Raw genomic sequence first — 23,427 nt, forward strand, 5'->3', positions numbered from 1 at the left:
CTCATACATGGTCTGGAACTATAGCTTGACATATGAGCCAATTATCATTGGACATCTATCTAGGCCAGGTGCAGTGGCTCACTCCTGTAATCCCAGCACTTGGGAAGGTTGAGGCGGAAGGATCACTTGTGGCCAAGAATTCAAGACCAACCTGACCAACATAGTGAGACCCCCATTTCTACAAAAAATGAAAGATAATAAATCAGCAGGTCATGGCGGTTTGTACAATAAATTACCAGGTTATGGTGGTGGATGCCTGTAGTCCTAGCTACTCAGAAGGTTGAGGCAGGAGGATCGTCTGAGCCTAGGAGTTTGTGGTAGCCTGGGCAACAGAGCAAGGACTATCTCTTTAAAAATAATAATAAAAAAAAAAAACTGGATGTCTGATAAAAGATCTACCAATAATCAATAATCTTTTAGTCCTAAATAAGTGTAAGTATATACATTTATATATGAATGAAAAGTTTATAACAATGTATTTTTAAAGTATCACTTGAAAGCGTATGCTATTTTTATGGCATCATCTATATCTTACTGACTGAGAAAACAAATTTCTGCTCATATTCAATGGATATTTTAATGGACTAATTGCGATCCTGAAATCTGCTTATGTAAATTTAACAGTTAAAATTTGGCTTTACACAAAAAAGAATGAAATCATATCCTTTGCAACAACATGGATGCAGCTGGAGGCCATTATTCTTAGTGAATTAACACAGAAACAGAAAACCAAATACCGCATGTTCTCACTTATGACGGGGAGCTAAACACTGGGTACACATGGACTGTTATGAATTAATGTGACCCCCAAATTAGACACTGATGACCCCAAAATGGGGAAGGGTGGGAGGAGGGCAAGGGTTGAAAAACTACCTATAGGACACTATGCTCATTATTTGGGTGACAGGATCAATAGAAGCCCAATCCTCAGCATCACATAATATACTTATGTAAGAAACCTGCACATGTACCCCCTAAATCTAATTTTGTTAAAATTGGCTTTAAGTGACAGTCTAGCAAAAAATATCCAATAACATTTTTGTTTTCCAAGCTTTCTTTTTCAATTATACAGTTTAAGTGCTTAAAAAATTACTGAGCTTTATCAAAGAATTACTAGCCCCAATCTCCTACTTTAAAAATTTATTTAAATAAAATGCATCACAATAAACATAATAAAAAGTACTTTTTCAGCACTATTTTAATTGAATGCAACAAATTCTGAGGGCCTTCTATGAACCAGAAACTGTCCTTCGCATTCAGTGTACAAAAACAAGACACAGTCTCTGTTCTCCAGAAGCTTAAAGACCAGAGGGGGAATAAACACCTACATCAATAAATAATTTCAACACAATGTGGTAGAAGTATACACAGAAAGGAGAGGCCCTTAGCTGAGGTGAAGGAACATGAGAGACTGGGTAGGGGTGATCACCAGAAGGCACTAGGAGGAGGTCATCAGAAGAAGGTCATCAGAGAGCCTTCATGGCGATGATGCCTGAGCAGAGTCTTGAAAGATGAGTAGGCATAAGCAAGTAGAGAATGGGTGAACATAATAGCAAAGACATGGAAGCATGAAATAGCATACTGGATTAAAGGAAGTACAAACAGGAATTTTGAAAAATTATGTTCTACCAGGACGCCACGGCCTTTCTGTGGCTTTTGTTTCTTAAAACCTTCGCATTTCATCCTCCATACGCTCACAATGGAGGGCAAACAGATTCCATCATCTACAGGCTTTATCTCTGTTAATCTCAGCCATCCAGAACATGGAAAGGGACCTGAAACAAAACCCTACTACCACAAAATCTATGTGGTAAGAAATATAAGCTGACATCAAGAAGGAGACAAAAATTGTACAATATCCTAGGTATGTTTGGTGTAGGGGCATTCAGCTCAAAACCCCTGTGAGAATATATTATGGAATAATATATGATCTGATGGTGAGAACAGTAACTCAGAGTTGCCGAGATAAACTTATCTCTTATGTACCTTGCTTATAAAGCAGGGAGCTGTGTAATAAATATACTTAGAAAAATCTTTACTCAATATTGTTAAAAATAAAAATGTTTTACATTAAATAAGAAGTCTGCCATTACCTGTGAAATTCATGTTTGTGAACCACCTCATTTCCCGACCATAACAGACAGAAGAGATGTTATAGTACAAATAATAAAATTTAGTGATTCATAAACAGTCTTTGGGTAGAAAATATTTAAGGTCACAGATTGTGAGAAAATTAAAAAGTTATAGCTTCTGATTTTAGTATATTCATTAAATCTTCATTTCTACAAGATTTCTATTTCAAAAGCTTATTCATCTGACATCTTCATACATAGAAAGTCTCAATAAATTAATTAAAAGATAAATGAATTTGTTAAATGACTTTATATGCTGAAGGAATGATATACAGTATTGCATTGTACAATAAACTGTTATGAATCAATGTGACCCCCAAATTGGGCAGAAAATAAAGGTATTCCATGAAGTATTCTACTTTCTTACATTGCCAAGAGAGGTATACACTATAGACCAAATCTCTAATCTAGACTGAGATCAAAACCACAAGATGATATAAAAATTTTTTAAATATCAAAAACATGGGCCAGATTAGTCTATTTTGGGTAGCTATAATGAACCAGATATTTTACCACATCAAATACTCTATACGCAAGGACCTGACATTAAAATAGCCAAATTCATATAATTAACCTCTTTTTAAAATTTAAATGTTAAAGTTTTTTCATTAAGCATAATCTATACTATCTATCTCCATGGACCTATAGATTTAATCTAATCATGTAAACACAACTTTAAAAAGTTATTGATCTACATTCTCTTTCCATTTATAGTCTACACACTCTAAATTAAATTCTACACAAGTTTTCATTCTTTTCTTCTTAAGGGAGTCTTCAGGCTTATTAAACATCTGTGTTAGTACACCAATAACCTAAGATATGCTATTTAGTTTCTTTATTGCACATTAAATAAATGAATTTGGAAGTATTAACATTTATAGAGAAATACTCCAGTTTCTATGGATTTACATGATTCTGTACATTATCCTTGATACGTGGTATGGTTACGGCTAGGAAAAATAGTGTTGGAGTACTGATTTATAATTTCATAAAAACAAATTAATCATTTGTAATAATTAAAGCATATGAGCTTTTCAAAAATTATTTTTCCCATAGTATACAACAGCCCAACTTTTTTTCCTTGTTATTGGCCAATAAAACCTTTGTTAAAAATTACACTTCAATAAACCATTATTTAAATGTTAAAAATGCAAAATTTTTAAAGTTTTCAAGCCCTAATTAAAAAAATTAAAAGCATAAAGTTTTTGATATTTTAACAACTTTATATACTCTAGAAATAAAGCTGCCAAAGATCAGTTCATTGTTAATTAGAGATTCTTCCATTATTATGAAGAAAATACCCACGATCTTCATATTTATCAAAGTAACATTTTAGTTAGGTGTCAATATCTCATTTTTAATAGAATGAAATTCTGAATTTCTTAATCCCACCATCCCCCCCCGAGTTGAGATGCATTTGCCATTTTCAAGGTTTTAGAAACACTTGTTGAAAAGACCATTGAAGAGTTTACAGTAGCAGTGTGAAATTTTAGGTATCCCAAGGAAGTACAGAATGAAAAATGTTTGAGAAGCAAGGATAGTGTTACGACTTTCAAAATTAATTCATATGAAACTCCTAATGTGAACCTGATTTTTTGCGCTGGGTAAAGAAGACTCATTAGAAGATCGAGTTCCAAGGGAACTGCAAATGCCAACCGCTTTAAAATGTACCTTTCCCATATGACACCATTTACCCTTGGAAGAAAACAAGTTACTCAGATTAGTCTAATTCCAATAAACACTGAGGCCATGAAGGAAAAAATATCCAAAAGGGTTGATTATTCCACCCCAGATTTGCAGCCATTTCAGGGACACCCCTTAAGTGCTCTTCCTCTGCAGATGTAGGGTAGACCCCCCATGTCTGACAACTCTTTAGAAATAAAATTGCGAAGAAGTTATCACTTTCCAAAGGGCGGGGGAAGGACAAGTGAGAGACGTTAAGAGAACCGACGCGCTTTGTCCTCTGAAATACCTCATATTTACTTTTGACAAAAGAAGTAAATAGAAGCAAAACTGAGATTCAGAAGAAACTCTTTCTACTGCTTGCACAGGTTAAGTTTCTCAAAGACCCCGGAGAAAAGAAGCGGGCTGGAGGCTCACCTTCCATGTCGCTGCCGGGCCGGGCTGGAGCTGCCGCTGTGGCTACTCGGCCTCTCCACGTGCTCCTGCCGTCGCCTGGACTCAGCGCGCAGCTGGCGGGAGATTCCCGGCGCGGGGAGTCCCCGGGATCCGGCAGCCGCGTCGGCGCAGACTGAAAAGGGCAGGAGCCGGCGACCTGCCGGTGCGCGGGGTTACAGCGGCGCTGGCTGGCGGCGGCTTTAAAGGACGCTGGCCGCGGAGTGCCGCGGGTTCCGCGCCTCCAGCCCCCTTTCGAATGTCAAACCCAAGGAACCCCGACAGGATGGAAATGTCGCATCACTAAATTGTCTCAAAATGTCTATTTTAGAAGGATAATGGATGAGAAAAGTGACATCACACGGAGGGTCGGGGGTCAGCCTTGCTTTCTTGGCAAGCTGAAGTTCAAAGACGTTTATCTTAAATTGAGGAAGATCTGGAACTTTTTGTCTAGATTCAGTGATAACAGCCGTGGAAAGTATCAATGAGAACCCCCTTCTTTCAAAGTATTTTTTTTTCCTTCCTCACTTTTTCATTTCACATGGTAAAAGTTTTTGGTCCAAGTTTTCAGACAGTTGGAAAGGATTTTGGCACTTCTATCAATTCAACTTTTTAATTTTTGGAAGCATTTATCTCACTTTTGTTTTCCCTCTGGGAACTGCTTGATTTATTTGCCACCACTCACGCAATACTACCCACTCTATATAAATAGAGGGAGTGTTTTATAGAGTGTGTTTATTTTCTCCCAGCCTGCCTTCTTCTAAATACACACCTTACAAAAATACATATATGATGTACCAGAAAATTAAGCAAAGAAAGTAGAGCTAAGGGTGGAAGGTGGGGGCAGTAAGATTGTAAAATTAACTTAAAGATGTTAGTATACAGATATGTATCAGTCAACATCTTCTCCCAACACCCTCCCTACTGTCCAGAGGTAAAGCACACATTTGACTGCAGAGAGAGGAAAGGGGAAGTGACCACAAAACTGTTTTTCAAAGCAGAACTTTTCTTCACATTGAGGTCTAAGGGACATTGTTCAGGTGAGCCCTTCTAAAGATATCCAGCGTGTGGGACAATATACGAATGAGTCTCAAAAGGCCACTGTCACCGCTATTAGAAAATTATATTAGTGCATACAAATATATTTGAGACTTAAGGCTGAGGGTTTGTGCATCAGCTGTCCATATCAGAAGAAACCCACACTTACAAGTTAAAGTATACATGCTGTAATTTTATGAATTGTAGCTTTAAACAATAGTATGTCGTTGGTATAGGCAGTCTATGTGATGTGTGTATATATATTCAAGTGGGTGAAAAACTACACTGGCTTTAAGCACCACAGTAGCATCTCTATAACTGTATGAGTTGGGAGTTCTGCAGGATGTCAATTTTGGAGAAATACTCTAAACACTAGGTCTAATTTTAGTACTGAAAGGGGAAATTTGTTGTTTGTTAGTTTCTAAAAGCAAAAATAGCACATCAAAAGTAGCAGAAGAGGAACTGTAAAATTTCACAGGGATGGTATGAGGATGAAAAGTTATTTGGTTATGAAAAAGTTGTAGGCCAGGCGCAGTGGCTCACGCCTGTAATCCCAGCACTTTGGGAGGCCAAGGCAGGTGGATCACGAGGTCAGGAGTTCGAGACCAGCCTGGCCAACATGGCAAAATACTGTCTCTACTAAAAATACAAAAATTAGCTGGGCGTGGTGGCGCATGCCTCTAATCCTAGCTACTCAGGAGGCTGAGGCAGGAGAATCGCTTGAACCCAGCAGGCAGAGGTTGCAGTGAGCCGAGATCTTGCCACTGAACTCCAGCCTGGGCAACAGAGTGAGACTTCGTCTCAAAAAAAAAAAAAAAAAGTTGTAAGGAAACTTTATGATTTTCCATTACAATGTTCTTCTGTATATTTGACAGTGGAACGTGTTAGTACTCTGTAAATAGTTCAATACTGAGTATTTCGGACTCCCGAGAGTGATACCTAAGGGGATTAAAAGTGAATTGGTAAAATAACTTATGTAGCTACTCCACCTTCAAGGAGATGCAGCATAAATCCCCACTCTTTAAGTGTGGGTGCACAAAGTGACTTCCTTCCGAAGAGTATAGTATGAAAGCAGGGGAATAAGTTGACAGTGGAGAAACCTGACAAACAGTACCTCAGCCAGCAGACCAAGGTTAACATCAAGTGATAAGGCATGTTGATAGTATGTCCCCTTGATATGATGTGATGAGAATGTCATTTTATCTCTGTAATCTTCCTCCTAAGAATCCATAATTCTAGTCTAATATGGAGAAAGACACCAAATTCCAGTAGAGAGGCATTCTACAAAATACCTCACCAATTAAAGCCAGGTCAAGACCTTCAAACACAAGAAAAGTCTGACACAGCCAAGGGGAATCTAAGGAGATACGATGACTATAGGTAATGTGGGATCCCGCATGAGATCCTGGAGCAAAAAAACAAACGAGGTAGGGAGGACATTGAGTAAAAAACTAAGGAAATCTGAATAAAGTTTGGACTTCAGTTAATAGTAATATATCAATATCCGTTCATTAATTGTAAGAAATGTACCATACCAATGTAAGATGTCAATAATAGGGAAAATCGGGAGGGAGTATGTAAAAACTCTCTGTACTGTTTTTGCAAATTTTCTGCAAATCTAAAACTCTTCTAAAATAAAAAGTTTATATAAAAAGAGTGGATGGGTACTTTTGACAACTATTACTCATTTGGTTAAGTCTCCTCTCATAGGATTTAGTTTATCACACAGGATTTACAACTATCAATTACTTACAGTAACCAAAAAGTCAATAAAACACACTGTGGATATATAATGTACTTTGACTAAAACTGGAATGAAGAACTTGTAGGGAATCAAAGATAATGCCTAAATCTGTCTTCATTATCATCACCTTAAGAAGAGAACAGTTGAGACCAGACCATGTATCCAGACATGGTAACTGAAAATGGGTGGATCTGACTCACTGAGTCACATTTCATGGCTTATGCTATATAGGTAAAATTAACAGTGACTAAAAATGAAATTACTGACAAAGTTTGCTCCTGGACCATATGAGAGAGTCCAAGTACTGACTCGGCTCAAAGGAAATAAAACCGAAAACTCTTGATCTCACCCAAAATAACCATTCTGCACCCTGTCTGAACCTTGGGCTCTCTCTACTAACCAGCCTACTCAAAACCACTACTGAGAGTGGTGTCCCGCTGCTAAGAAACAGACAACACACAGGGCCTTTCGGGCCACCAAACTAGTAGCCAAGAAGGAACCATCAAAGACGCGGGCATGATCCCCTTTGGAGCTCCCCGATCTTGACTAGTCATCCATCCCTACAGAAAAGGCCAATCGGGCTCCATCCCTACAGAAAAGGCCAATGGGCCTTACAATTGGGCCCATTTTTAAAGCAAGGTCACTTCATCAACCTAGATACGTTTGCACTGGGGGAGGTCTCTCACATCGCCTCATACTTGAAGTGAAAATGAAGATTCAACGTTCCTCTAGAGTGGGAAGGCCCGGAAGCGCCTTCTTGGCTCAGTAGTGGCTCTTCTGGGTCTTGGTCTTGCTGGTAAAGAATGCAATTAGGTAAAAATCGCGTGTCAGTTTGAAAGAGATTCGACACCCAGTTTCAGCGTTCATGAGAAGAGAGGCGTAGGAAATCCCCACGCGGGCCTTTCTGCTTCACGTGAGGAGGAAATTGTCACAAGTCTCTGCCTTCCTCAGGTCCCCTTCCTAGGGGATTCCTCATCGCATCCCCTAGCCGCCCTACCCCACCACGGTCCTTGGGACCTCGCGGTGTTCTCTCCTTGATCCCTTCGGCCCCTAGACTGGGGAATCCCCGGAACGCGACACCGTGGCTTCTTTTCCTTTATTCTCTTCCTGCCTTCCGCTCCGCTCAGAGAGCAAGGGGCCAGGAGCGCGGGAAAATGGCGCCGGACGCGAGGCGCGAAAAGTTCGCATGCCTGCTGCCGCGTGGGCGCCAGAGGATCTGGCGATCGCCTGCAGCGCCGTCGCCCCGCCCCCGCGCGCGAGAATCGAAGCACGCACGCGTTCTCCTGCGCGTCCGCTCCCGCCGTTGCGACGGACGGGTAGGGGAGGCGACCCCGGCGTTCTGCTCCGCACTGTGGAGGAGGTGGGGAGGTGTTGGGCCAGGGCTGAGGTAGGAGGGAGTCTGTCCCTCGACGCCTCCTGCGACGCCAGCCCCTGAGCGATGATGCGAACGTGCGTCCTACTCTCCGCGGTGCTCTGGTGCCTCACAGGAGGTGGGGCTCCCTCCACCCGGTCCCCAGGCCTCTCCCTCTGCCCGAGCTTCCCGGTCCTGCCTCCTTCGCCTCGCCCTGCCCTGCCCGACTCTGAACCCTGCTCCTCTTCTAACTAAAAGTCAGTGTTTTATTTCCTCCGCAGTCCAATGCCCGCGTTTTACCTTATTCAATAAGAAGGGCTTCATTTATGGCAAGACAGGACAGCCAGGTAATAAGGGCCTCTGCACACGCGGGCCCATTGGAGGGGCCGGAACTGCGAAGCTCTTCCCGGAAGAGCTTCCTGGAGAGAAGGGGAACGAGCCAGCGTTTATTGAGCATCTATTATACTAAGCATCTGCTTGGCAGTTCACGACGGTCGCATTTTTTCATCCTTACAGCGATCCCTATTGTGTCGCCTTGCTTTAAAGCCTTACAGCTCACAAAGGGCTGGGATTTATTCCAGATCTCTCTCTCAGATGCCATCTCACTTCCAGGTGTCTCTGCTGCTTTGCAACGCGGGAAACCCACGCAAAGGAGTGATTTCCAAGGCCTTCTGTTTGGAATATCTTTAATCCTCCCCTTATTAACTGGAAAAACTCCCACGCATCCTTCAGGGCTCAGCTCAAATGTCCTTTATCTCTGCAGTGAAACTTTCCCAAGGAAAATTAGTTACACAGCTAATTTTAGATAAATTGAGCCAGTTGATAGAATTTGTCATGTTTAGACTCCTTCTGTGTTTGAGTTCTCTCCCCGACCCCCAACCAAATTGTAGGACGTTGTCTTTATGAGCCTGGCATTCAGTAGGCTTTAAAATTAATATCTTTCTGGGTTGCAGTGATTCCAAGCATACCATCGTTCTGTCCACCAAACCAGAAACAAGAAGTAATCACACATCTTCCTAATATGCCCAGATAGGCTTAATTATTGTTCCCAATGGAGAAAATTTACAGTTAAACATCAGGTTTCCCTTAGGGTGATCATGATCATCTATCTTTCTTTCTTTCTTTCCTTCCTTCCTTCTTTTTTTTTTTTTTTTTTTTTGACAGTCTCACTCTGTCACCCAGGCTGGAGTGCAATGGCACAATCTTGGCTCACTGGAACCTCCGCCTCCTGGGTTCAAGAGATTCTCCTGCCTCAGCCTCCCTAGTGGCTGGGATTACAGGCGTGCGCCACCACGCCTGGCTAATTTCTGTATTTTTAGTAGAGACAGGGTTTCACCATGTTGGCCAGGCTGGTCTCGAACTTCTGACCTCAGGTGATCCGCACGTCTTAGCCTCCCAAAGTGCTGGGATTACAGGCATGAGCCACAGCACCAGCCAATCTTTTTTTTTTTTTTTTTTTTTTAAAGACAGCATCTCGCTCCATTGCCCAGGCTGGAGTGCAGTGGTGTGATCTCGGGTCGCTGCAACCTCCGCCTCCTGGATTCAAGCAATTCTTCTGCCTCAGCCTCCCAAGTGGCTGGGATTACAGGGGCCCACCACCATGCCTGGCAAATTTTTTTGTATTTTTAGTAGAGATGGGGTTTCACCACGTTGGTCAGGCTGGTATTGAACTCCTGAGCTAGGTGACCCACCCACCTTGGCCTCCCAAAGTGCTGGGATTACAGGCATGAGCCACCGCTCCCAGCTGATCATCTTTAGAATAGTTATGCTGAAGTCTTTTTCTGAACTTTCTTTGAGAGGGAGTCTTGCTCTGTTGCCCAGGTGGGAGTGCAGTGGTGCACTCTCGGCTCACTGCAGCCTCTGCCTCCCGGGTTCAAGCAAGTCTCCTCCCTCAGCCTCCCGGGTAGCTGGGATTATAGGCCCACATTACCACGCCAAGCTAAGTTTTGTATTTTTAGTAGAGAGGGGGTTTTGCCGTTTTCTTCAGGCTGGTCTCAAACTCCTGGACTCAAGCGATCCGCTCCCTCGGCCTTCCAAAATGCTGGGATTACAGGCGTGAGCCACCGTGCCCAGGCCTTTTCTGAACTTTTAATTGCTTCCACCAACCCTCCAAAAAATTATGATTTGAGTGAGTTCTGAATCTGTACATTAAAATGAACTTTAAATATATCATGTGTATTTTTATAAACAAAAGTGTAATATGGAAAAATATCATGACTCGTGACTAACAGTGTAGAGTTTTAAAAAACTTACTATGAGAAGCAAAAAGGACTTCAGACGAGCGTTCTAAATGTTATATATTGATTTTTAAAATAGTGAAATCCAACAAGAACTAATTCGTGTCTTCAGCACAAAATGGTAGGAGTATATTTCTTAATTTAATTTTGCTATATAATGTAGTTATACATTATTTTATTTCATCACAGACAAAATATATGTAGAGTTACATCAAAATAGTCCAGTCCTTATCTGTATGGATTTTAAGCTTTCTAAAAAAGAAATAGTGGACCCCACCTACTTATGGATTGGGCCTAATGAAAAGACGTTAACAGGTAAATTTGATTTTAATATGTACTTTTTTAATGATGTGAACATATTTTTAGAAAATCACTGTTACTTATTGGAAAGAACAAATTGAAATTTAATTTTAATGGCAGTTTCTCTTGCTCCCTACTTAGAAAAATCATGTTATATTTTGGCCACTTCCTTATTTTCTCCTTATGCAAAAACTGAAGCAGTAATTTTTGTGCCCTGCTTCTCAGAGCTGTATTAATTCAAAGGTCTTTATAAAACCTAAAATTTATCATTGTAGTACCAGTAATAGGAGATGAAATAACTAATATATAATTTTTCATCATGTTAGAGTGCCTTGGAACATAAGTATTATTAATTAGTTTCTTGTCTGAAGAAATTGTATAGTAGTACAGAGCAGTGCAATCTCTTTTTCTGAATTACTGGGATGAACCAATTGAAACTAGATGCCAAGAAACAAAGAAAACCAAAATATATTTCAAAAGTGTACTTATCTCATGTAGTCTTCCACAGAGTAATATGACAGAATTAAGATTTTGTGGGATCCTTAAAGTTGAGATAGTTCATTAATTTTTAAAATTTTTGTATCTATTTGTAACTCCAAGTGTACTAAATAATGCTTGATATGTTATATGTTAAATAAGTAATTTACTATTCTGTTTAGGAAATAATAGAATAAATATAACTGAAACTGGACAGCTGATGGTGAAAGATTTTTTGGAGCCTTTGTCTGGACTTTACACATGTACTCTTTCTTATAAGACTGTTAAAGCAGAAACTCAAGAAGAAAAAACAGTCAAAAAGAGATATGACTTTATGGTCTTTGGTAAGAATTTAGGCACATTTTAACTTATACATTTAGTTTGGATCGTAATTAAGTGTATGGTTTCTTCATTTAATGAAAATGAGTCTGTAATAGGTGACTGTCACCAATTATGACTTACAAAATATTTTGGGATGTATTTGACTAAGCAAACTCTTAAGTTGACATCAAGATAGTTTATCCTAAATAATCTTCTTTCAGCTCCCTACTTGCCTCTATCTAGATATGTAAGCGCATCTACTTTATCACAATTTAGCAGGTAATTTAAAAACTGATCTTTAATTCTATAAAAGCAAGTTAATGATCCTTTCACTGGGTTGTGCTGACAGCAATGACAATTTCTGTGAATTAAGGCCCTCCCCAAAAAGTCTTTCTTTTTCTTGATACTGTTATCTGTATAGCCAACCCACAGAAGCCATTTCTCTTGTTGTACCAAGTAGATAATGTATCAGATGAAAATAACATTTTTCATTAAAGTTAATAGTTTTATGTATTTTTGTGAGGACTAACTGATAAAACGTTATGTTTCTATGCTGACTGCAAGATTGATGGGATTTAGTATTACATAGTATTTGAAAATTGTTTGGTAGAGGAAATTAATGCTAGGTACGATTGTTTTCACTCTCATCTTTCTTTTTTTTTTAAAGCCTATCGGGAACCTGATTATTCATATCAGATGGCTGTACGTTTTACCACAAGGTCTTGTATAGGGAGATACAATGATGTATTCTTTAGAGTGCTGAAGAAAATCTTGGATAGTCTAATTTCTGATTTGTCATGCCATGTCATAGAGCCATCATATAAATGCCATTCTGTTGAAATTCCAGAACATGGCCTCATACATGAGCTATTTATAGCATTTCAAGGTAAAATTTTTAAAATTTCTTTAATTTTGAATTTAGTCCTGAACCATAATAGATTACAAAATTACCATATTAATATAAGATATTTTAAAAGTAATAGGTCTTACATGTTTGTTAAGCACTAAAGTATGTAGTTGACCTTAGCCTGTTTATGGTTTTAAAACTTAACACACTAATTAATTACTTTCAAATATGACATATTGTTGCTTCTTAAAAATCAATATTTTATTAATACAGCCTTTATGCAGCTAATATTTCACTTATAACTTCTTACAGAATTTTAAATTGTATTTTTGAAAACTTAGTAAAAGTGAATAATCAAACCAAATTTATTTCTATTCATTTTAAAGCCTTGTAGTTACTTACATTAGCCCCCAGATGCAGTGAAACCATCAAGTATAAATTATTCAAATTGTGCACCTTGTTTTATTACTAGGATTAGATAGCTGGACTAAACATGTGCCTGCATGCACATGGAATTCAGCACTTGGACCTTTATTGAAATGTTTGGAACTTTTCAGAATCCCTTTGTGAGTCTATCATTTTTTTTCTCTTCAGTTAATCCTTTTGCGCCGGGGTGGAAAGGTGCTTGCAATGGATCTGTTGACTGTGAAGATACCACTAATCATAATATCCTCCAGGTGAGAATTTCATGGTAAGGAAGAAGTATTTGTCTTTTTCTTTTTTTAGAGACAGGGTGTCACCCAGGCTGGAGTGCAGTGGTGCGACCATAGCTCACTGCAGCCTCAAACTCCTGGGCTCAAGTGATCTTCCTCCCTCAGCCAAGGAGGAAGTATTTGAAAATCAATAAAGCTATTTAAAACATTTTTGTAAATACTTCGTTATATTGAAACGTTTCTTTAAAAACCTATTTCTCCATCTTGTGAATATTTATCAATAATAAAATCATTTCTAAGGAGGAAAAATTATTTTTTAAAAAACGAATATAAAGTATTAATAATATTGATTTTTTAAGTATTATTGATTTTTGGTTTCAGTTTTTTAAACTGAGATTATGAGATTCTTAGTTATTTCAAGATGTGATTTTTTTTTCTTTCTCAAAAGAGAGCTGGAGTATCAAGATGTGTTATTTTGGAGTAGCACATCTGTAATATTAGATAGTTCCCAAGGTTAGTATTATGTATTTTATCTATGACAGAAGGATAGATCCCTGGTCTTTGTTCCCCAAATGATGATTAAATAGTGGCTTAAAGAACAACTTCACAAACATGTCACCCTACGTTAAGCCAATGGTGCTTCCAAAATTATATCTATATTGGTCATACTAGTTGCTCTCCCCTCTACCATCCTCAGAGGCAAAGGACATAGTCTTAAAAATCCCTTCACTCTCTGGTCTAGTTCCTGAGCTCATGTCCTTAATTGTTATTGTGCATGGCTTATGAGAAGCACTTAGTTAAAATTAGTTATTATTAAATTCTGTGCTCAAAAACCCAAAATTTACATCATCGGTTTATAATGCTGATTAAAGAAAAGTCTTTTTTTTTTTTTTTTTTTTTGAGACGGAGTCTTGCTCTGTTGCCCAGGCTGGAGTGCAGTGGTGGCCATCTCAGCTCACTGCAACCTCCACCTCCCAGGTTCAAGCAATTCTCCTGCCTCAGCCTCCCAAGTAACTGGGACTAAAGGTGCACACCACCACACCCACACCCGGCTAATTTTTTGTGTTTTTATCAGAGACGGGGTTTCACCATGTTGGCTAGGTTGGTCTCAAACTCCTGACCTCAAGTCATCTGCACATATCTGCCTCCCAAAGTGCTGGGATCACAGGTGTGAGCCACCACGCCCAGCCAAGAAAAGTCTTGCTTTCCATTTTGCTTGGCTCTTTTTCTTTGATGATCATGGAAATTAGATATAATGAACGCCCAATTATCTACATATGGGATAGACATTGCAAATAATTCAAAACAAGTTTTTTAATCTTATTTTTTCTTTTCATTTTATTTTGTTTTGTTTTTGAGATGGAGTCTCATTCTGTCACCCAGGCTGCTGTGCAATCTCAGCTCACTGCAACCTCTGCCTCTGGATTCAAGTGATTCTTGTGCCTCAGCTTCCCGAGTAGCTGGGATTACAGGTGCCTGCCACTACCCCTGGCTAAGTTTTGTATTTTTTATTAGAGACGAGGTTTCACCATGTTGGCCAGGCTAGTCTCGAACTCGTGGCCTCAAGTGATCCGCCCACCTCTGCCTCCCAAAGTGCTGGGATCACAGGCGTGAGCCACCACGCCCAGCCTAATCTTAATTTTAATTTTTATTTATTTATTTTTTCTGAGACGGGGTCTCGCTCTGTCGCCAGGCTGGAGTGCAGTGGCACGATCTCGGCTCACTGCAACCTCCGCCTCCGAGGTTCAAGCAATTCTCCTGCCTCAGCCTCCTGAGTAGCTGAGACTACAGGCACATGCCACCACACCTAGCTAATTTTTGTATTTTTAATAGAGATGGAGTTTTACCATGTTGGCCAGGATGGTCTCGAACTCTTGACCTCGCGATCTGCCCGCCTTGGCCTCCCAAAGTGCTGGGTTTACAGGCATGAGCCACCGCTCCCAGCCAATTTTTCTTAACCATTGCACATATTAATTGACAACAGTTGATAAGGTCAAAGCTAACTAATTTTGGTGTTAACACACACCTTTTCAGGAATTTATCTACGTTAAGTATGGCATGCTTACAGTACATTATTGCCTGTGATACTGGAGGATAAATTTGGTTCATGGTTTAGTAATTGTACCTTTCTCTGGTATTTTTCAACCTTAGGCAAGAGATCGAATAGAAGACTTTTTTCGGAGCCAAGCATATATTTTCTACCATAACTTTAATAAAACTCTACCAGCAATGCATTTTGTGGACCACAGTTTGCAAGTAGTACGTCTGGATAGCTGTCGACCAGGCTTTGGAAAAAATGAACGTCTACACAGTAATTGCGCTAGCTGTTGTGGTAACTATAAAATATAAATATCTAAACATTTAGGTTATAGAGTCAGAAGAATATATAAGTAATTCACTTGGCATAACTGAATAGAATCTTTACAGTGATTCTCTTACCAAAAAATATATATATATTTAGCTAAAAGGAAGTAAAAATTCAAAGCCCCAATTTTTTTTTTTTTTGTTTTTTTTGAGATAGAGTCTCACTCTTTCACCCATGCTGGAGTGCAGTGGCGTCATCTGAGCTCACCACAACCTTCGTCTCCAGGGTTCAAGTGATTCTTCTGCCTCAGCCTCCCCAGTAGCTACCACAGCTGGCTAATTTTTGTAAAAAGTAGAGACAGAGTTTCACCATGTTGGCCAGGCTGGTCTCGACTGAACTCCTGACCTCAAAGGATCCGTCTGCCTTGGCTTCCGAAAGTGCTGGGATTATAGGTGTGGGCTACCATGCTTGGCCCCTTTTTTTTTTTTTTTTTTTTTTTTTTTTTTTGAGATGGAGTCTGGCTCTGTTACCCAGGCTGCAGTGCAGTGTGCAGTGTGGCGCAGTCTCAGCTTATGGCAACTCTGCCTCCCAAGCTCAAACCATCCTTCAACCTCAGCCTCCTGAGTAGCCAGGATTACAGGTGTGCAATCTGTAATTTTTGTATTTTTACTGACTAATTTTTGTATTTTTAGTAGAGACAGAGTTTCGCCCTGTTGCCCAGACTGGTCTTGGAATTCCTGGGCTCAAGCAATCTGCCCGCCTTGGCCTCCCAAAGTGCTGGGATTACAGGCATGAGCCACTGCGCCCAGCCAAAGCCCAAATTTCTAAATATAGTTATTTTAATGTATATTAACTCTTCCTGATGTACTCTCTTGTATTATAAACATTTCTATAATGTTCTGTCTTAAGCTACTGTACAATGAAGGAAAACAGAATGGTCCTACCTGGAAAGCAGAGAACTAGGAAATAGGAACTAGAAAACTAGAAATAGGAACTCATAAATGGGGCACTGCAGAAGATACTGTAAAATGCTGATAGTAAAAGAAAAAATAGGATTCTCACTTTCTCCTATCTTTAAGATCATCAAATTATAAAGTTTGAAACTCACATAATCTTCCACAACTTAAATGGGCTGAACATTACCTGGTATAATATAGGTACTGAAATGGTATGATATTAAAGGCAGATTTATATTGTTGGTATAGAATACCTCCAAGTAGTAGAGGCATAAAATATCTCTAAATTATAATTACTCCCTGTGTTTTCCTCTGCAGTGGTTTGTAGTCCTGCGACTTTTAGTCCTGATGTTAATGTAACTTGTCAGACCTGCGTTTCCGTCCTTACCTATGGAGCTAAATCTTGCCCACAAACTTCAAACAAAAATCAGCAATATGAAGATTAGAGGTGAAAGCATTGTTACTTACTTGTGGAAGTCGGGGACATAAGATGATTTTCACATCCCAGAGCATCATAGATAGTTCCATTAAGTAAAATCAGTAAGACCAAACCACTGGAAAACATGCATTTTGGAAACTTTAAAATAAATGGTTAACATGGCATTTCTAAGAAGGCATTTAATCCAGTATCTCTAGTGTACAAAGGAAACTTGAAGTTTTAATGGATTATTTTTAATGAAATGTTTTATTGTTTACAAACGGTATGTTGCTGTGTACCTAAGAGTATAGTAAGGTCAAGAAGAGTATCAAAGTATAATAAAATAAAAATTGTATACTCTCCATATATTTATTTGTTTGGAATCACTCTTGTGTGATATAAAGGCGTGTATATTATCTTTGTATTAGAACCAAAAAAGTTATTTATTTTGGTCCCTATGATTTTATTTTTTAAGATAAATTAATATACTGTATTTTTTAAAGTATAGGTTTAGGTTTACAGAATAATAGAGCAGATAATATATAGAGTTCCATACACCCACTGCACCCCATACCCTCATTCCTCCTTACACAATTTCTCCTATTATTAAGATGGTGCATTAGTGTGGCACATTTGTTACAAATGATGAACCAATATTAATTTATTATTAATTATAGCCCATAGTTCACATTAAGATTCATTGTGTTGTAAGGTTATGTGGGTTTTGACAAATTCATAATGGCATGTGTGCACCATTGCAGTCTCATACAGAATAGTTTCACCACCCTCAAAATCCTGTGCTTCACTTATTTATCCCTCCCGCCGTGCCCTGGCAACCACTGATCTTTTTACTGTCTCTACAGTTTTGCCTTTTCCAAAATGTCATGTAGTTGGTTGGAGTTATGCAGTATGTAGACTTTTTAGACTGGCTTCTTTCACTTAGCAATATGCATTTAAGGTTCCTCCATGTCTTTTTGTGACTTGATAGCTCATTTTTTATTGCTGAATAATGTTCATTGTATGGATATAGCATAGTATGTTTATCCATTCGCCCATTAAAGGAAATCTTGATTGCTTCCAGTTTTCAGTGATTAAAAATAAAGCCGCTATAAACATTTGTGTGCAGGTTTTTGTATGAACATAAGTTTTCAACCCAATTGTGTAAATAACCTAGGAATATGACTGCCGGAGTGTGACTATGTGTAGTTTTATGAGAAACTGCCATACTGTCTCCCAAAGTGGCTTACCGTTTTGCATTCACCAGAAATGAAAAAGTATTCCTGTTATCCTTATCTTTCCCAGCATTTGGTATTGTTAGTTTTTTTTTATTTTGACCATTCTAATAGGTGTATGGTGGTATTTTATTGTTTTAATTTGCAATTCCCTAATGGCATCTGATGTTGAACATCTTTTCATATGGTTATTTGCCATCTGTGTATCTTTTTGGTGAGGTGTCTGTTCATATCCTTTGCCCATTATTTAATTGGGTTCTTAATTCTCTTATTGTTGAATTCTAAGAGTTCTTTGCATATATATATATATAGTTGTTGTTGTTGTTGTTCTTGTTGTTGTTGTTGTTGTTTTTGAAACAGAGTCTTGCTCCATCGCCCAGGCTGGACTTCGTATATTTTGGATACAAATTTTTTTTTAGTTAATCTTCCGATTTATTTTCTTAGTAATTTTAAAAGACATTAAGTTCATTAACACAATAAATTAAAGACTATATTAATAGATTGCAACATATATGCGTGTAATATATATGATAATAAAATTACAAAAGACAAGAAAGAAAGTGAAGCAATGTTGAAGGCAAGGTTCTGTATTTTCCTAGAACTAAGTTTTACGTATTATTCTGAAGTAGACTGTGATAGGATAATACGCATATTGCAATCACTGGCACTACCACTTAGAAAACAACTGAAATAATACAACTCAAAAACAGAAAAACTGAAAATCTACACTGGAAAACATTATTTAACAAAAAAGCCAGTTAAAGATAAAATAAAGAACAACAACAACAACAAAAAGACAGAAGAAATACAGAAAACAATTAGCAAAATGGTAAATTTAAGTACAACCATGTCAACAATTGTATTAAATGTTATAGTTCTAATGCAATCAAAAGGCAGAAATTGTCAGACAGACTGAGTAAAAAGAAAAATTCAACCATCACTACCTGCAAAAGAAATGCATCAGATTCAAAGACACTAATAGTCCCAAAGTAAAAATAAAAAATATAGACACTATATAAGCAGTAACCATAATATAGGTCAAATGAATATATCTATATCAGGCAAAATAGATGTTAAAGCAAGTACTACTCAGCATGAAAGGGGTATTTCATAATGAACACAGGTTAAATACATCAAGAAGAAATAATGTATCTGCACCTAACAGAGCTTCAAAATATTCAAGTCAAAATGTAAAGAATTAAAAAAAGGAAAATAGATAACTTGATAACAATAATTGAATATTTCAATAATGTACTCTCAATAATTGATAGAACAGCTGGTACAAAAACCAAAAGGATGTAGAAGACATAGACAACATTATCAACCAGCTTGAGCTGACTGACATCTGACAAGGTGACATCTTTTTTTTTCTTTTTTTCCAAATTTTTAATTAAATACAAGTTTGCAAAGATTTTTTCACATTCTTTGTGAAAATTTGCGAAAAAAATTCTTTCGCTTTATTCCTTCAGCTTTTCATTCCTTCAACAATGCCTTTCACAGAGAAGAAGTTTTTAATTTTAATAAAATCCAACTTGATAATTTTTCTTTCATGGCATGCCTTTGTTGTCATATCTGAAAACTCATTGCCAAACCTAAGGTAACTAGATATTCCTGTTATCTTCTAGAAGTTATATAGTTTTATGTTTTATATGTAAGTCTAAGATCCATTTGGAGTTAATTTTTATGAAAAGTATAAATTGTATGTCTAGATTCATTTTTTTGCATATTGATATCCAATTGTTCCAGCACCATTTGTTGAACAGACTGTTCTTTCTCCATTGAATAACATTTGCTCCTTTGCTCCTTTGTCAAAGATTAGTTGACTACATTTGTAAGGGTCTATGTGTGGGCTCTTTATTCTGCTCCATTATCATTTTGTCTATTATTTTGTCAATACCACACTGTCTTGATTACTGTATAGTAAGTCTCACATTTGAGTAGCGTCAGTCCTCTGACTTTGCTCTTTAGTTTGGTGTTATTCTGAGTCTTTTGCTGCTCCATGTAAACCTTAGAATCATTTTGTTGATAACCACAAAATAACTTGCTTGGAGCTTGTTTAGGATTACAGTGAATCTATACGTCAAGTTGGGGAGAATTAACATGATAACAATACTAGGTCTTCCCATCTATGAATGGAATATCTCTCCATTTGTTTAGATATTCTTTGATTTATTGGAGTTTTGTGGTTTTCCTCATATACATCCTGTACATTTATTATTATATTTATGCCTTAATATTTAATTTTTTCATGCTAATATAAATGATACTGTGCTTTTAATTTCAAAGTCCAAATGTTCATTGCTGTTATATAGAAAGGCAATAGACTTTTGTATATTAACCTTATATCCTGTGACTTTACTATAATTACTTAGTTCCAGGAATTTTTTGCCTATTCTTTGGGATTTTCTACATTGACAATCATATCATCTGTGAACAAAGACAGTTTTATTTCTTCTTTTCCAATCTGTATACCTTTTATTTTCCTTCTTATCTTATCGCATCAGCTAGGACTTTGAGTATAATGTCGAATAAGAGTGGTGAGAGGGGATATCCTTGCCTCATGCCCAGTCTAAAAGAAAGGGAAAACATCTAGTTTCTCACCATTAAGTGTGATGTTAGTTATAGACTTTTTGTAGACTTTCTTTGTTAAGTTAAAAAATCCCCTCTATTCCTAGTTTGCTGAGAATTTTTATCACAAATGGGTAGTAGATTTTGTCAAATGCATTTTCTGCATTTATTGATATGGTCATATGATTTTTCTTTAGCCTGTTAATGTTATGGATTACATTAATTAATTTTTAAATGTTGGACCAGCATTGCATATTTGGAATAAATCCTTCTCGGCTATGTGAATAAATATTTTTATACATTGTTGGATTTAATTTGCTAATATTCTGTTAGGGATTTTTGCATTTATGTTCATGAGATATATTAGTCTGGAGTTTTACTTTTTGTAATATCTTTATCTGGTTTTAGTATTAGAGTAATGCTGGCCTCATAGGATATGAGTTAGGAAGTATTCCCTTTGCTTCAGTTTTTATGGAAGAGATTATAGAGAATACGTATCATTTATTTCTTAAATGTTTGGTGGAATTCACCAGTAAAGCTGTCTGGGCCTCTAACAAATACTAGAATGTACTTAAAAATCATAGTGAAGGGGCTGGAATAGTGTAGCAGGCAGAATAAGGGCCTCTCAAGGATGTCCACATCTTCATCCACAAAACCTGTGAATATGTTAAATTACATGTAAAGGTGAATTAAATAAAGTTACGCAGAATTAAGGTGGCTAAACATTAAAATAGGGAGATTATATTTGATTATCTTGGTGGGTACAATGTAAACACAAGGGTCTTTATGAAACAGGAAGAAGGAAACAAATGAGAAAGAGAAAGAGGTGGGGATGGCAGAAGCAGAGTCAGAGAGATGTTATGTTGTTGGCTTTGAACACAGAGGAAGACAGCCATGAGCCAAGGAGTGCAGGTGGCCTCTAGAAGCTGGAAAAGGCAAGGAAATGGTTTCTGTAGAACCTCCAAACAGGAACAAAGTCCTGCAAACACCTTGTGTTTAGCCCAGTGCGACTCATATTGTATTTCTGGCCTACACAATTGTAAGATGGCAAATTTTTGTGATTTTGTTTTGTTTTGTTTTTTAGAGACAGGGTCTCACTATATTGCCCAGGCTGATCTTGAACTCCTGGGGAATTTGTGTTGTTTTAAGCCACTAAAAACCAAAACAACAACAACAACAACAACAAAACTATCTGGGCCTGATGCTTTCTGTCTTGGAAGGTTATTAATTATTGATTCAATTTCTGGCTGGACATGGTGGTGCACACCTGTAATCCCAGTACTTTGGGAGGCCGAGGCTGGCAGATCACTTGAGCTCAGTTGTTGGAGACCAGCCTGGCCAACACGGTGAAACCCCGTCTCTACTAAAAATACAAAAATTAGCCATGCGTGGTGGAGGGCACCTGTAATCCCAGCCACTCAGGAGGCTGAGGCACGAGAATTGCTTGAACCCAGGAGGCAGAGGTTGCAGTGAGCCGAGATCACGCCACTGCACTCCAGCCTGGGCAACAGAGCAAGACTCTGTCTCAAAAAAAATAAATAAAAATAAAAAATTAAAAAAAAAATTCAATTTCTTTAATAGATCTAGACCTATTCAGAGTATCTGTTTCTTCTTGTATACATTTTGGTAGGTTTTGTCCTTTAAGTAATTTGTTCATTTCATCTCAATTATCAAATTATAGAATTATTTATAATATTCCTTTATTATCTTTTTAATGTCATTAATGACATTAATGTTTAGTAGTGATAATCCCTCTTTTATTTCTGATATTAGTAATTTGTGTCTTCCCCTTTTTTTTCTTGGTTAGCCTGGCCAGAGTTTTATCAATTTTACTGATGTTTTCTAAGAACCAGCTTTTGGTTTCCTTGATTTTCTCTGTTGATTCCCTGCTTTCAATTTAATTGATTGTTGCTCTAATTCTTATTAGTTCTTTTTTTCTGCCTGCTTTAGGTTTATGTTGCTCTTCTTCCTGTAGTTTCCAGAAACTTGTACCTCTAATCTAAGGCACATGCTTAGATTATTGATTTTATATTTTTCCTATTTTCTGATATGTGCATTCAATGCTATCAATTTCCCTCTAAACATTTGCTGAATCCTACAAGTTTTTATAAGTTGTATTTTCATTTTTGTTTAGTTTAAAATATTTTAAAATTTCTTTTGAGATTTCTTTGACCCATGTGTTATTTAGATGCCTATTGTTTAATCTCCAAATATCTTTTAATTTTCCAGCTATCTTTCCATTATTGATTTTTAGTCTAATTCCATTGTGGTCTTCAGGCTTACTGTGTATGGATTTTTTTTTTTTTTTTTTTTTGAGACGGAGTCTCACTCTGTCGCCCACAGGGAGTGCAGTGGTGCAATCTCAGCTCACTGCAACCTCTGCCTCCCGGGTTCAAGCGAGTCTCCTGCCTCAGCCTCCCAAGTAGCTAGGACTACAGGCGCCCGCCATCATGCCTGGCTAATATTTTTATGTATTTTTAGTAGAGACAGGGTTTCACCATACTGGCCAGGCTGGTCTTGAACTCCTGACCTTGCAATCCGCCCGCCTCGGCCTCCCAAAATGCTGGGATTACAGGCATGAGCCACCAGGCCCGGCTTGCTTTTATTGTTTTAAATGTGATCAGTACTCGGGAGGCTGAGGTAGGAGGATCGCTTAAGGCCAGGAGTTTGAGACCAGCCTGGGCAACATAAGCATCTCTTAAAAATTTTTTGCTCAGGTACTCTGTTAACAAT

General features: G+C 37.9%; 2 protein-coding genes across 18 annotated transcripts in view, besides 8 other annotated features; one reads left to right on the forward strand and one right to left on the reverse strand.

Annotated features, from left to right (window-relative positions):
• Window positions 1–4,425, reverse strand: part of IKZF3 (IKAROS family zinc finger 3) — a 106,598-nt gene extending 102,173 nt beyond the window's left edge. For all 15 annotated transcript variants that reach the window (NM_001257409.2, NM_001257408.2, NM_001257413.2 and 12 more), the window contains exon 1: window positions 4,233–4,425. In NM_001257409.2, coding sequence (NP_001244338.1) covers window positions 4,233–4,239 — 7 coding nt within the window. In that variant the 5' untranslated portion in view covers window positions 4,240–4,425. The remainder of the gene's footprint in view (window positions 1–4,232) is intronic.
• Window positions 1,529–1,688: an enhancer, noted in NCBI's record as "active region_12111". NCBI's record gives its function as "activates an Ori minimal core promoter by ATAC-STARR-seq in GM12878 lymphoblastoid cells {active_cell/tissue: GM12878}" and the evidence as "EXISTENCE:reporter gene assay evidence [ECO:0000049][PMID:35858748]".
• Window positions 4,047–4,166: an enhancer, noted in NCBI's record as "active region_12112". NCBI's record gives its function as "activates an Ori minimal core promoter by ATAC-STARR-seq in GM12878 lymphoblastoid cells {active_cell/tissue: GM12878}" and the evidence as "EXISTENCE:reporter gene assay evidence [ECO:0000049][PMID:35858748]".
• Window positions 4,177–4,266: an enhancer, noted in NCBI's record as "active region_12113". NCBI's record gives its function as "activates an Ori minimal core promoter by ATAC-STARR-seq in GM12878 lymphoblastoid cells {active_cell/tissue: GM12878}" and the evidence as "EXISTENCE:reporter gene assay evidence [ECO:0000049][PMID:35858748]".
• Window positions 4,994–5,063: an enhancer, noted in NCBI's record as "active region_12114". NCBI's record gives its function as "activates an Ori minimal core promoter by ATAC-STARR-seq in GM12878 lymphoblastoid cells {active_cell/tissue: GM12878}" and the evidence as "EXISTENCE:reporter gene assay evidence [ECO:0000049][PMID:35858748]".
• Window positions 5,124–5,183: an enhancer, noted in NCBI's record as "active region_12115". NCBI's record gives its function as "activates an Ori minimal core promoter by ATAC-STARR-seq in GM12878 lymphoblastoid cells {active_cell/tissue: GM12878}" and the evidence as "EXISTENCE:reporter gene assay evidence [ECO:0000049][PMID:35858748]".
• Window positions 7,135–7,354: an enhancer, noted in NCBI's record as "active region_12116". NCBI's record gives its function as "activates an Ori minimal core promoter by ATAC-STARR-seq in GM12878 lymphoblastoid cells {active_cell/tissue: GM12878}" and the evidence as "EXISTENCE:reporter gene assay evidence [ECO:0000049][PMID:35858748]".
• Window positions 7,369–7,584: a silencer, noted in NCBI's record as "fragment chr17:38023509-38023724 (GRCh37/hg19 assembly coordinates)". NCBI's record gives its function as "represses an EF-1alpha promoter that drives an FKBP-Casp9 reporter gene in an ReSE screen in K562 erythroleukemia cells {active_cell/tissue: K562}" and the evidence as "EXISTENCE:reporter gene assay evidence [ECO:0000049][PMID:32094911]".
• Window positions 7,595–7,674: an enhancer, noted in NCBI's record as "active region_12117". NCBI's record gives its function as "activates an Ori minimal core promoter by ATAC-STARR-seq in GM12878 lymphoblastoid cells {active_cell/tissue: GM12878}" and the evidence as "EXISTENCE:reporter gene assay evidence [ECO:0000049][PMID:35858748]".
• ZPBP2 (zona pellucida binding protein 2) lies at window positions 8,315–18,009 on the forward strand. 3 transcript variants are annotated; one of them, NM_199321.3, is made up of 8 exons: window positions 8,315–8,519; window positions 8,662–8,727; window positions 10,807–10,932; window positions 11,577–11,738; window positions 12,383–12,601; window positions 13,157–13,239; window positions 15,367–15,547; window positions 16,795–18,009. In NM_199321.3, exons 1-8 carry the CDS (start codon window positions 8,468–8,470, stop codon window positions 16,920–16,922), a joined length of 1,017 nt encoding a protein of 338 aa, NP_955353.1. In that variant the 5' UTR covers window positions 8,315–8,467; the 3' UTR covers window positions 16,923–18,009. The 3 variants fall into 3 exon arrangements, with proteins under 3 accessions (NP_955353.1, NP_942141.2, XP_047291274.1); NM_198844.3 differs by lacking the exon at window positions 8,662–8,727; XM_047435318.1 differs by lacking the exon at window positions 16,795–18,009 and having other exon boundaries at window positions 13,157–13,253; window positions 15,367–15,449.
• Window positions 18,010–23,427: the final 5,418 nt, after the last annotated feature.

The sequence above is a fragment of the Homo sapiens genome, chromosome 17 (genome assembly GCF_000001405.40).
Source record: "Homo sapiens chromosome 17, GRCh38.p14 Primary Assembly".
Lineage (NCBI taxonomy): Eukaryota > Metazoa > Chordata > Mammalia > Primates > Hominidae > Homo > Homo sapiens.

Coding starts and splice junctions, on each gene's coding strand:
- ZPBP2 (NM_199321.3), top strand. CDS start 8,468: ATGATGCGAACGTGCGTCCTACTCTCCGCGGTGCTCTGGTGCCTCACA. Junction 8,728..10,806: donor TGGCAAGACAGGACAGCCAG/GTAATAAGGGCC, acceptor ATTTCATCACAG/ACAAAATATATGTAGAGTTA. Junction 11,739..12,382: donor ATATGACTTTATGGTCTTTG/GTAAGAATTTAG, acceptor TTTTTTTTAAAG/CCTATCGGGAACCTGATTAT.